Raw genomic sequence first — 13,904 nt, forward strand, 5'->3', positions numbered from 1 at the left:
AAAAAATTATGGTGCAACAAAACTAGTTTTGTTTTATACATTTCTAAATGTCCACATAAATTATTTAGATTTCAACTTGAAAAGATCACTCAATTATATACTTTATCTGGGAGTCACAAGCTATTGTCTTAATAGGCTATATTTCTCTTAACTATTCAAGCATATACAACCCCAAGTTTGTGCAGATGCCTTAACCAGGAAACATCGATACAATGTTTTTAAGTGTCTTGGTTATTTCTGTTCTCATTTTTAAAGCTTCCCAGAGTTGAAAGCTATGTGGGCATTCGGGAAGTGAAAGGCAATCTCAGTTACTGAGATGACTTTTAATTAGAGATTTTAACTGGGTGCTGAGACTTGGAATGGTAGACATCTAAGGTGATTCTTCTCATACCAACTGTGATTTTATCCCATGAAATTTGGGGTTTGCCTTCTCAGTATCCTGCAGGTTTTGAACAATCAGTGATTTCAGCCAAGAGCTCATCAGGTCCTTCTCAGGAACCTAAATGGGTTACTCTAAACCTATGTACCTAGCTGCTACTGGTAAACCCATAGCTTTACAGGGGTGCAATCATGCTGCCCAGGTCTTTGGAGGTGAATTATATACAATACCCAATCCTTTCTTCTTCTACAAAAAGACTGCAAACCCCACGTAAGTTAATCGTTTGACTAGATTCTGCATACTTTTGTTTCTGTATCAGTGTAAATGCCCCTTCTGTGTGAGTTTAAGATCTTCGAACTAGGTAGAATATTGCTTCTTTCAGATTGTCAGGCCCCACCCTGTTCGTGGACAGTTATTTCCACTCCTATTGAATTCTCTACCTGGCTGTCTAGCCTGTCACCACAACTGGTAAGCCTCTTCTGTTAGCACACGGAATTGCAGAATTTTGTTGATTCTAGAGGAAACTTGTCCAACCCGCCACCCGTGGGCCACATGCAGCCCAGGACAGCTTCGAATGTGGCCCAACACAAATTTGTAAACATTCTTTAAATATTATGAGATTTTTTTTTAAGCTCATCAGCTATTGTTAGTGTTAGTGTATTTTATGTGTGGCCCCAAGACAATTCTTCTTCCAGTGTGACCCAAGGGAGCCAAACGACTAGACAACCCTGTTCTAGAATGTTCTCCATGGCTGCTCCAAACTCAGCCGCTTGCTCTGTATTAACTGCAGAATAAGAGCTTTTCTCATTTATGCCTCCCAGTCATCAGGACCAAAGTGTAAGATGCATCAAAGTTTCCCTGGATGGTTGGTGCCCTAGGGCAGTTGCCATGAACCAAGTACAAAAAGAAAAACAGACTTTTCCAAAATTAATTCAAATGGGCATAACTCTTTTGGAAATTGTGTAGCACATGTTGCCAGGCTGGGGGGATGGGCTGTGTGTGCTATTTTAATGAGACTGCAGACTGGTTACATCTACAGCTTCCCATATTTTGGCTTATTTTAGAAAGAGCCAGAAAATGATGTTTAACGGTAAACTGCAAGAAGACAGGCAGGGAGGAGGGGCAGATGGCATGAAGTAATCTTTCTGCATTTCAAGGCATAGGCCAACTCTTTGTTAAAATATTCTTTCCAGTTTGGAAGCCCTTGGCTTAAGGGAAATTTGGAAAAACCAAGCTCATGTCCCAACCAGCAGCTCATCTAGAAAGTAAAAATGAAAACTCTAATTATCAGTCAGTCAGTGGTTTTTATCGTGCAACAGTTAATTGTTTCACTTAAAACCACTGCTGGTAACAGCTGGAAAGGAAAGTGACTGGAGAACAGGGTCATTTAAAACCATTATTTTGAGCTACAGTTTCAATGTCAATGAAAGAGTTGTCCAAATTTTGGCATATCACTTTCTAACGAATTTTAGTTTTATGAGATAGCCATCATTTAGTGAAATATATCCCAAATCGTGAGAACTGTATTTCTTGCCAACTGTCTTTTTTTTTTTTTTTCTTTTGAGATGGAGTCTCACTCTGTTGCCCAGGGGTGGAGTGCGGTGGCGTGGTCTCTGTTCACTGCAACCTCCACCTCCAGGATTCAAGCAATTCTACTGCAGCCTCCCGAGTAGCTGAGATCACAGGCATGTGCCACCACACCCGGCTAATCTTTGTATTTTTCGTAGAGACCAGGTTTCACCAGGTTGGCCAGGCTGGTCTTGAACTCCTCACCTCAAATGATCCACCTGCCTTGGCCTCCCAAAGTGCTGGGATTACAGGCATGAGCCACTGTGCCTGGCCTTGCCAATTGTCTTTATTCCTCTTCTCTTAGTAGCCCATGGGAGACTATTGTAGTGTGTCCTTATGACCAGTGTTTTCCAATTATTTGTTAGCCAGAAATTGGAACACTGAATATACTCTTCTATAATGTTAAAAATGGTGGCAAAATTTCAGGCCAACCTATAAGAGGTACCTGGTTAATATATAATATAGCTGTAGTTGGGAATACAAAGGGATATTTTTTCCCCAGTAGTCTTTCCATCTGGCAGTATATTATGATCCATTCATCTCAATCTTGCTACCTCAAAAGCAGAAGTGGCAGATGAATCCACCCAGCAAACGCCATAGAGGTGGGTCCAGCTGAGGCTTTACCTGGCACTGACCGTGTCCTCCTCCATTAAAACACTGGTACCAGGCTGGGTGAGTGACTCATGCTTGTAATCCCAGCAGTTTGGGAGGCTGAGATGGGAGGATCACTTGATCCCAGGAGGCTTCAGTGAGCTATGACTGTGCCACTGCACTCCAGCCTGGGTGACAGAGCAAGACTGTCTCTTTAAAAAAAAAAAAAAAAAAAAAAAAAAAAAGCTTATTAAAACACTGATACCTGACATATATGGCTGTTATGGCTGCGGTGGGGATTACATGTAAATATGGCAAGACCTATAATAAAAAGTTAATATTTATTAAATACTTATGAGGTACCCTTCACTAATTAAGTCGCTCCTGCAACGATGCCACAGAATGGTGCTTCCCTATGTCACAGACAAGGAACCAAAGCACAGAAATGTCAAGTAATCGGCCGAAGGACACACAGCTAGCAAACAGCAGAGCCAATTCAAACCCACACAGTCTGGCTCCAGAAGCCATGCTTTGGTCACTATAGTCCAGGGGTCAGCAAACCATAGCCCATCACCTGTTATGGTCTGGCCCAAAAGCTAAGAATGGTTTTACCAATTTTAGAGTTGGGGTGTAGGGAGAGAGAAATATTTCATGGCATGTGAACAAAGATATTAAATTTAAATTTCGATGTTCATAAATCGTCTCATTGGAACATAGCTACTCCTATTCATGGAACACAGCTACTCTTATTCCCATACATACTGTCTATAGCTACTTTCACACCAGAAATATCATGACAAAATGTTTATGACATAATGGCAAGGGATAAAAAAGAATACAGAAAGTATGATTCCACTAATTTACAAGAATGCTTAAACAAAAAATACTTTAATTATTAATAATGGATTGTAGAAACATGAGTAATTTTTTTCATCTGCATTTCCCACCTTCTCTGTGATGATCAGGTATGCCTTTTGCATTAACAAACATCAACCTTAAAATTAAGTAAGTTGGCAAAGGATCGGTTAATTTGTCAAAGAATAGAAGGGATTCTAAATAACAAAAGTAAACAGACATTTGGTGAAAGACTCTAAGATCGGGAGTTCTAACTATCATGTCCATTTTAATGACTTTTGGTTGTAAATCATTCTTGGGTACTTAAAAATATCAAAGATACACTGCAGACATTTTAGAAGGCTCCCGTATAAGTATGGACTTAATATATTTTTATGTATCTTTATTTCCCATATATATCCTTGTTAATTCTCAAACAGGGAAAAATGTAAACCTTAACTTTTATTTGTCACATCATTAGTTTCTTAATGTAGATATCCTGACATGAAATTTTGCCCCATGGGCTGTACTCCCCTTCTATGTTATTACTGAAGTGTGAGATGTCTGAAAAGTATCTTAACTAAAGATGAAGGAATTTCACTGATATCTGGGCATTATAGGAAAGGGGAAAAAAGTGAGTTTAAATGAAATGATTTTCTGAGGGATTTTAAAATCCTTAAATTGGGTATAAGGAGGGCCTTCTTTTATTAGTGTACAAATCCAGCCCTCTACATTGTGCTTTCACACCCTATGCCATTCATTGCAGCATGGTAACTTACTGCTTTCTGAGCTCTGAGGTTCAGAAAAGTTTTACTTGCCCGAAGTTACATAGCTGCAAAATTCTGGTCTGGCATTATATCTGGTTCTGCTGAAACTGTACTTCTCAACTCTGGCTTCTCAACTGCCTGGCAACATGCCAACATGATGACATCCAGTTTAGAATTCCACCCTCTACTGTCCCTTGGTTCTCACTACAAGGTGTCACTAAGGCACAGCATTCATTTCCAATGTTTTTTTCCATCTTTCTGTGGACTGATTAAATGAGAATATTCTTGGAACCGATAGAGAACTGGGCAGCTCATTGGCAGCATGGCAGTCAATAACCGAAGGGGCCATAAACAAGGTTAGGTCTTATCTAGTTGGGCCAGGCAGCAGATGTAGGTTTTAATCAAGTCAGGCCACACATGGGTTGGGGAAGTAGCTAACTCTAGCTAAGCCTGTGTTGGGAAGCTAAATCTAGGCTGGTGAAGGAAGCCAATAGGGCCCAAATAGCTAATGGGGCTTGATCCTTCATAATGAGTTCCTCCCAGAGGTGGCTCAGCACCTTGGACAGTTACCAGGAGAGTCACAGTTTCTGAAGGAGCCTGATTCCCTCCCAGGTCGATTTTTTTGGCACAACTTCTACTTCTTTGAAAAACTTCCTGTTCTCCCCTCTTTTCTCAGGGTTCTTATGTGCAGAATTGGGAGAATACTGATACAACTAGCAAAATGAGCTGCTTCTGAGGATATCCACACACATAAGATTTCCCTGATTATTAGACAGAAAAGTCACCGCTTCTAGCCAGAAGTGTGTCTAGTTCCATCAGATTGGCTTGTGTCACGAAGGGAAATATCTAGTTATTGTCTTCCCAGAACTCTTCTTTCCTGGGCCAGCTTATAAGTACTAACAACACAGACTCTTCTTTGCAAGTTATTGAGAGGAAAAATTGTCATTTAATTCACAGAGTGGATTCCTAAAATGTGCACACTCAAATATTCTCTATTTCTTATGTTGATATTGACTGTTCTCACTTTCCCATAAAGTTAGATTATTCAAATCATAGATCTTCATTTACATTCTATAGCTGAAGTTAATGTACCTTTTCTTGATTAATTCTCAAAACAAGTTTATATTTTGTATAAGATCTCTTTAATATGAAAGCTCATAGTGTATCTTTATAGATAGGTGTATGTTTTCTCTGTAAATTTGCCAACCTCTGCATCTGGTTCAGAAAATGGAAGTTCTGAATCAGAGCTACAAAAAGATTTAATGGGCTTCATGCTGCTGTTAGCGGCAGTATCCAGGCACCAATAGACCAGTATTTCCCAAACTGTGTTTTGCTGGACACTAGTCTAACAAAAGCTCTGTGAAAGGAAATTCTTCCAAGGAAGAGAAGTTTGGAAAACTCTGCCTTACTTTCTACCTTTTTGGAGAATCGCAGTGCTCATTAGCATTATGTGTGTAAGTAAAGAAAGCTTTTTCATGCTCCCAGTTCAGCATTTTCCAAATACATTGGACACCATAACAGTTTTTAAAACTAGTAGTACTCTGATCTACTATTTACCATAAAACCCTTTTCTAGATGTAGTCAATTGTCAGAATGTCATTGAGGCAACCAACATATCTAATATACAAAGTTAGTGAGATTTATGTCTCCTAACCTGAGAATCTATGACTTTTTGTTATCCTAGCTTAAATATTTACATATGTGACAGGGTCAATCCTAGAATCAAAAGAAATCATATTTATGTCTTTCTTAAGTACACACTTTGGAACTTGGAGAAATACTTTTCTAACAGAGAAGCAAGTAATTAGGTGTAATTACACATTGGAAAGTGGCAGGTATGTAGATAGAGGCCTCAAACACACGGATCCTTTTAACCATAATTAAAGTATATAAAATTGATAGACAATAAATTTTATTATAAAGTTCTGTGTTGAATATGGAAAATAACCAAGCCAAAATGTAAAAAAAAAAATCCTTGGACTGACATCATAATGACCTTAAAGATGTTAGCATGCTCTTTGAAGAGTAAAACTCTTCTGAATATTTAAAAAGATCATGATATCTATTTATTTTTCCCAGGAAAGAGTGTAATGATTTATTTTGGATTCACTGAGGTATACTGCTACTGAATATTTCAGAATAGCATGCCAAGTGCAAAAACTGTAGTACTGTTTGCAGCTTCAATTTTGAAAGCACTTTTCCAACCCATTTATTAAAGAGTATCCATTTTCTGAGCCAAATGATGTAACAAAAAAAATTGTTCTCTGTATATACACAGCACTTTTTTTTCTTTTGGACCTTGGGTACAAAAGATTGATTTAATAATACTCCTCAATTCATAGAACATAATCATACTTGATCCTCATAAGGCTTTCTGATACACGTACTCATATATACATTTATGTACATCTATGTGTACTTACTTTCTCTTTTAGAGTGTATATAAGAATATAGCAAATATATTCATATATATGCATCCATATTAATATATTCCCTTTTATATTGTAAATATATACGAATACATAAAATATGCATATGTATATATATATCATACATATGCATTTATGTGAATACATATGCATATTTTATTTTTCTGTCTCCTGGAGAAACACTGTTTCATATATATTCTATTATTTTTATGTGTCCTTGATAAATATGTATAGTTTTCTGAGCATGTTGTCTTAGTTTATCATGTAAACATATTTACATATATAATGTTTCTTTTTTCATTCAATACTATAGTTTTAGAAATAACTTTTGACTTTGAAAAACTGCAAACATAAACCAAGTATGCAATGAGAGAAGAGTACACTGAACTCCCATATGCCCATCATGCAGTTTCGACAATTATTAACTCATGACTAATCTTATTTCATCTATGTCCCCACACACTTCTCTCCTACCTATACTACTTGACACAAAGCTTAGATATCATGTCATTTTATCAAGTATTTAAATATATATATCCAAAACATATAATGACACTGAAATTATCATACCCCCAAAAGACAGCAATTTCTTAATACTACGAAATTTCCTGTCCATGTTCAATTTTCTCCCAGTGGCCTCATGGATTTGTTGTTGTTTTTGTTTGGGTAAATCAGCATCCAAATAAGAGCTATACATAGCAACTGATTGATATGTCTCTTGAATCTCTTTTGATTTCTGGAATTTAATTTTCTTTCCATATATTTGTTGAAAATCTATTTGGTTTGTTCTGTAGGTTTTTATCTCTGGATTTTATCTCATACCCATGGTGTTATTTAGCATGGTCCTCTCATCCTGTATTTTCTGGGAATTGGTGGTTATATAGAGAGATTTAATTAGTCTTCTGTTAATTTTTCTTTCTGAGGGGAGAATATTTCATTGGTGGTATTGAGTACTTCCATTTGGAAGCATAGGGGGTGTCTGTGTGTGTAATGTTAGCAGCCATTGATGCTCAGTGCTTAAACATTAAGTTACCAGGTGATGGGAAATAGTGATATGCTAATTCTATCATTCCATTTTCACTTAGTAACTGAAAAACTCCCCCTCATCAACTCTTTGTTACATTGACTACAGTTTGTATGAAAGGTAGAATAAATGGTTGAGTCTTTCCCTTTATTCAGTAGTTTTCAAAATAATGAGTTGGTTCCCTAGCATCCCCCAAAGGTGGCCAATGATGTTTTCCTACGTTATTGTGAATTTGCTTTCTGGTATAACAAGATATTCCAGGATCATTTGTGCATTTCCTATCCCAGACCCAGGATCAGTCATTTCTCCAAGAAACCCGTTGCTTGTAGTAGCAAATGGTATTTAAATCCAAAATCTGGGAGCTAGCAGTATTTATTACTACTGAGTTGTTCACTGTTCTTCAAGGTCTTTTTAGTAAGCAGTGTTAGGAAATATATACTTTTTACAATAAACTACATTATGATTTCATATTTCCAATTCAAATTCAGGATTGTAAGATTTTTATATAACCTCATTGATCTTACATCTGTATCTATTTTTCCAATATCTCTCAGCACCAATATAAGTATTATTTTGCTTCCATCCCCTAAATCATCCAGTCTCAACATAATACCTCAACACCAATAACAACAATATATATTGAAAATGGTTAAATATATTTTGCAGTTCTTTTGTCCTTAGGGTATATTCCACTAGGGATGTTTATTCAAATTGCCATGCTTCAAATTCACTTGAAATGTTTCCTTTCTTTATACTTATGTTACCAGCTCAATTCACAGATTCTTTTCACTTAGCTTTTGATTTCTAAAAATGTGCTTCTTAAATTTAATCTTGCTCTATAACTATGTAAAGTATTTACCTGGTTCCAAAGTGAAATCTATAAAACGATATTTATTCAGAGAAGACTAACTTTTATCCCTGTCTCTTCCCCATAGGTAATATTGTATTTTTAATTTTTATTCTGTCATCCCATTATTTTTAAACATCTATGAATATGTCTGTGTATATATCCTTTTTGAAAATAAGCTGAGTGCAATGCCTCGTGCCTGTAATCCTAGCACTTTGGGAGGTGGAGGCGGGAGGATCGCCTGAGCCCAGGAGTTTGAGATCAGCCTGGGCAACATGGAGAAACCCCATCTCTCCAAAAAATACAAGAGTTAGCTGGGCGTGGTGGCATGAGCCTGTAATCCCAGCTACTTGGGAGGCTGAGAGGTGGGAGGATCACTTGAGCCCAGGGAGGTTGAGGCTGCAGTGAGCCATGATTGTGCCATTGCACTCCAGGCTGGGCAACAGAGTGAGACCTTGGAAAGTAAGTAAAGTAAGAAAGAAAGAAAGAAAGAAAGAGAGAGAGAAAGAAAAAGAGAGAAAAACAAAAGAAACAAAAGTATACAAAATATTCTTTGCTCTACGTTGCCTTTCACTTCACAGTATATTCTGGAGATAGCTTGCCAATGGTATATAGAAGTAGTCCTCACTCTGTTTTGCAACTGCAGAGAATAGCAATGTACATTTGGGTTGTTTCTAGTCTTATGCAACTACATATAGTGCCATGTGCCACTAGTTTTGTGAGATCTATCCATATGCCTATATATATATATATATATATATATATATATATCTAATCCACTAATTTATTTGCAACAACATACTTCATGTAGCATTTGCCTCTCCTCTGGCCCCCTCCCTTTAACAACCTTCAACTCCCCTGCTACTTACTCAGGTCCCCAGGTCTTTACACCAGTCCCCCACCCCAGCCAAAGCTGTAGGTGGCACTGTCCAAACAAGGCGAGGTCCTGCTAGATGGCATAAAACACCAGCTCTGTGAAAGCTGGAGTCTTTGTGGGGTCTGTGGTTTTGCCCTGATTCTCATGAAGCGAAATCTTCTCCTGAAGCAGGTACTTCAGAAGAAACTATGTAATTTCAGTATCAAAAATAGCTGTGCTTCTCATAAATGTTGTGAGTTTATTTTATACACAATGTGAATTATGTAAATGGCTAGAATTTTCTGCATTGACTTCAAGAAAGTTTGGTGCCTAATTTATGACCCACTCATAACAAGTATATGAAATTTTATGGTTGTATTTTTTCTTGTTTTCTTAAACAATCAACATTATGGTGGACATAGGTTTTGTTTTTGTTTTTAACTGTTAAATCACCCTAGTTCTACAAAGCGCAAGTCTTGCTGCAATGTACCCATTTTGTATCCAGCCTATGTCAGCATTCTAGAACATATACAAACATTCCATGTTATTCCATTAAAGTGAATATTTACAAACATCATTGCCCTTGAAAAATGTTTGTCTCAATAAAAAATACAACCTAGGAAAATCTGCATATGTATAGTATAGTGTTTTATATAGACTATTGTTTATATATAAACATAATTTCATTATCTAGCACCACTAACAAATTATATATGATATGGAAGGGAGTTTTTCTGGGTACCTGGAACTAATATCCAAAACATAATCCACTAATGCATTCAGGAGCTACTGAAATGCAGATGATGGTGGTTCATATGCAGAGAGATTTCCAAACAATGTGCCTTCCAAGGCTGTCTGGGTCATTGTTTGTGAAACTGTAGCCATGACCTATTATTGACTTATGAAGTCAATTCAATAAGTCACAACCAGCTTTAAAATACCACCTAGATTAAAATAGAAAATACAGTACATTGTGTATAAGTATTCTTTTGGAAAACTTTTGTTTCACTCTTAACAAATATAGATGTATATATGCACACTGGATCAGAAAGGAAAATTCATATCTTTGTTTTTTTTGAGATAGGGTTTCACTCTGTTGCCTAGGCTGGAGTACAGTGGCACGATCAATAACTCACTGCAGCCTCAACCTCCCAGGGCTCAGGTGATCGTCCCACCTCAGCCTCCAGAGTAGCTGGAACTACAGGCACATGCCACCATACCCAGCTACTTTTTGTACTTTTTGTAAAGATGTGGTTTCACCATGTTGCCCAGGCTGGTCTCCAACTCCTGAGGCTCAAGTGATCCACCAATCTTGATTGCCGAAAGTGTAGGGATTACAGGTGCGAGCCACCATGCCTGGTCATGTATGTCTTCTTGTAGGAGGCAGTTAAGAATGTCGGAAGGGTCCTGCTCTGGGGGGCCGTAGGTCCCAACCCATCTCACCCCCTGACCACTCCACTCTGCTTCATCTCCCTGTGGGCTCCTTTCATTCTTTTTGGTACCAAAACTACATTCAGAATAGCCACCTTCTTCTTCCCTTTTCTTTTTGTTACTTTTCCTTTTTCTTTTTAAAATTATGTGTGATGACTCTGCTTGTCCTCTTAGTTTGGGACAAAAAAAAAGAGTTCTAAAATAGTCTCCTCTTGTCAATGGACCTCTACCTCACCTTCAGCTGCCATATAACTGGTGAGTCATAGAATGTCAGGGTGGATTTCTGGCCCCTGCGTCTTTTCTACTGTGTTTATCTGTCCACACAGTCCAAAGGTTGTTTTTCTCCTGCTTTTTTGTTTAAGTTGGGTTTTATGCTCTTATAGCTGTCAAGAGACTTAATTATTCTTTTATATATTTTTTTGAGATTGGATATATAAATTCAATAAAATAGCTATCACTCTTTCTTTTACTGTTATTAAAAATCAAATTGAGATACATCACAAAAATATATTGTGGATAGCTTAAGATAAACTGATGGATTCAGAAGCATTCCTCTTGTCTAAAACTTTGCAGTAGACAACTGACCTTTTACCACCAAAATCCAACAAGAGAGATGGAGGAAAAAGTAGGTACTTAGAGGCAGACATCGCCATATATTAACTAAATAGTCCCTCAGGTCAAATCAAGTGCAGTCTTCTACAAAATACTCAAAAGCTGTCGGCTTTACAGAGGAATTTCCAGAAAGCAGTAAGATTCTGGCATCCTATTAAAATACCTAGAGTACTCTGTGGATGGCTTGAAATTAAGCCTAGTCTAATGTATCATTTTAACTATACTGTAATTGGAAATAACAAAATTCACATGAAATATGCCATGCAAAGGTTTACCCACTTTTATATCAAATTAAACATGCCATTTTTTTCTTTCTTTTTATTTTTTAGTGATGGGGTTTCACTATGTTGCCCAGGTTGGAGTGCATTGGTTATTCAAAGATGCGATCATAGCTAACTGCAGCTTCAAACTCTTGGGCTCAAGCAGTCCTCTTGCCTCAGCCTCCCGAGAAGATGGAACTACAGGCACTGTGCCTGGCTTGAATTAAACATTCTAGTTTGATTAGTGTGGTGGGTAGAATTCTGAGAAGGCACCCAGGATCCTTGATCCTGGTATAAATACCCTGTATAATCCCCTCCTGCTGAATATGGGCAGGACCTTGAACATGATAGGATGTCACTTCTATGATTATGTTACTTAGCATGGCAAAGGTGGAAAAATTGTGAGATGTAATCAAACTCCTGATCAACTGACATTAATTTAATCAAAATGGAGATTATCTTGGGTGGGTCTGCCCTAATCAGATGTGTCCCTTTAAAGAGACTCCAAGCAGCAGAGACCCTCTTGCTGACCTCAAAGAAACAAAAAGTAATGTTATGCACTGCCTACGGAGGGGGGTGGACTCTAAGAGCTGAGGGCTTCACTCCTACAGTCACAAGGAACTGAATCCTTCCAAAAAGCACTGAGCTTAGAAAAGAAACCAAACTCCAGATAAGAATCACAGCCTGGCCAAAAACTTGATTTTAATTTCATGAAACTCTGACCAGAGAACCCAGTTAAGCCATGCCTAGACTACTGACCCACAGAAACTGAGATAACAGATATGCCTTGTTTTAAAGCCCTATGTGGTCATTTGTTACAGCAGCAATAGAAGACTATTACAATTAGAACCTCGTTAACTCTCAAAGGGTCATAAATGTTAGACCCAAAGGATGCATGTGTAGGAGCCAATGGAAAACTTCCCCTTCACCCTCTGAAGGTTCTCTGCAAAAACAGCTCACAAAAGACAAATTAATAAGAGAAAGGGTATACAAGTTTGTTTGTTTATTTGAGACAGTCTCGCTGTGTCAACCAGGCTGGAGTACAGTGGCGTGATCATGGCTCCCTGCAGCCTCGACCTGCTGAGACTACAGGCACACACCACCATTCCTGGCTAATTTTTGTATTTTCGGTAGACATGAGATTGTATCATATTATCCAGGCTGGTCTTGAACTCCTGAGCTCAAGTGATCCGCCCACCTGGGCCTCCCAAAGTGCTGGGATTATAGGTGTGAGCCACTGCATTCAGCCAGGGCATATAAGTTTATTAATATGCATGGGGAGAACCACAGAGTGATTACCCCAACCCTCCAATGGGGTTCAGAAGTTTATATACCATCTTGAGGTTACAGAAAGAATAAGGGCTTGGATCTTGGCGAAACAGGTTATGGGAGGGAGAGAAGAGGTAGCAAAGGTGGTCTTGTTGTGTAGATGAAACCTCACAGGTAGCAGCTCTCAGAGAGAATAGATGGTGAATATTTCCTTTAGACCTTTGAAAGTGTCAGACTCTCAATTAATCTTCCCTAGATCCAGACAAGGGAAGGCTTCGAAGAAAGCCTGGCTTCATCAATGAAGATTTTTCTCTACAGATGCAAATCTCCCCAACAAAAGACAGTTTTTCAGCTATTCTTGTATTTCCAGCTTTTCTGAATAGCCATCTTGAAATATGTCAAAGGAGTATATTTTGGGGTGAAACATTTTGGTTTCCTTCTCCCTCTTGGGTTTCCCAAAATACTGAACTATCCCCATTGGAATATGTTGAAAATGTAGCACTTAGAAAATCTCTCCCAAAGTTTAAAATCAACTGAACATTTCCAGGAAATTCTCCAGTCCTATCTCCATAGTGCCCCATCTCTCTAAGCACGTGATTTATTCTAAGTGTTACATGAATGCTGGACCCCCCCTCCCCAGGTGGGCCCTGACCTTTACCTGGCTATTGTGCACAATCCCTTGGTGGATCTCATGAACCAGGGATTTTACCTGTTCAGAAGGGGGCAGGACTTAGAAGGAGAAGGCAACAAATTGGAAGCCTTCTAGGGATCTGATTCTGTGACACAGAGTGAATTTATTTCATTTTAACAGCATCTTCTGAGTTAGGCATCTTTTGCCAATTTTGGGAATGAGACAACAGATTCAGAGAGATGATGAAGTCAACCACAGCATATTGTTAGTATATGGTAAAAACAAGATATGCAGTAGGTCTGAAGGATTCCAAAAAGCAAGTCTCTTGCCACCACATCATGTCCAATTACAAATGTACAGCATGTCAAACTTCACACATTCTTCCCCAAAATCTCCAAGTAAATC

General features: G+C 38.1%; 1 protein-coding gene across 14 annotated transcripts in view; it reads left to right on the forward strand.

The window, feature by feature from the left end:
* FRMPD4 (FERM and PDZ domain containing 4) overlaps positions 1-13,904 on the forward strand; it is a 902,085-nt gene that overhangs the window by 721,818 nt on the left and 166,363 nt on the right. The window lies entirely within an intron of this gene.

Source organism: Homo sapiens, chromosome X (assembly GCF_000001405.40).
Source record: "Homo sapiens chromosome X, GRCh38.p14 Primary Assembly".
Lineage (NCBI taxonomy): Eukaryota > Metazoa > Chordata > Mammalia > Primates > Hominidae > Homo > Homo sapiens.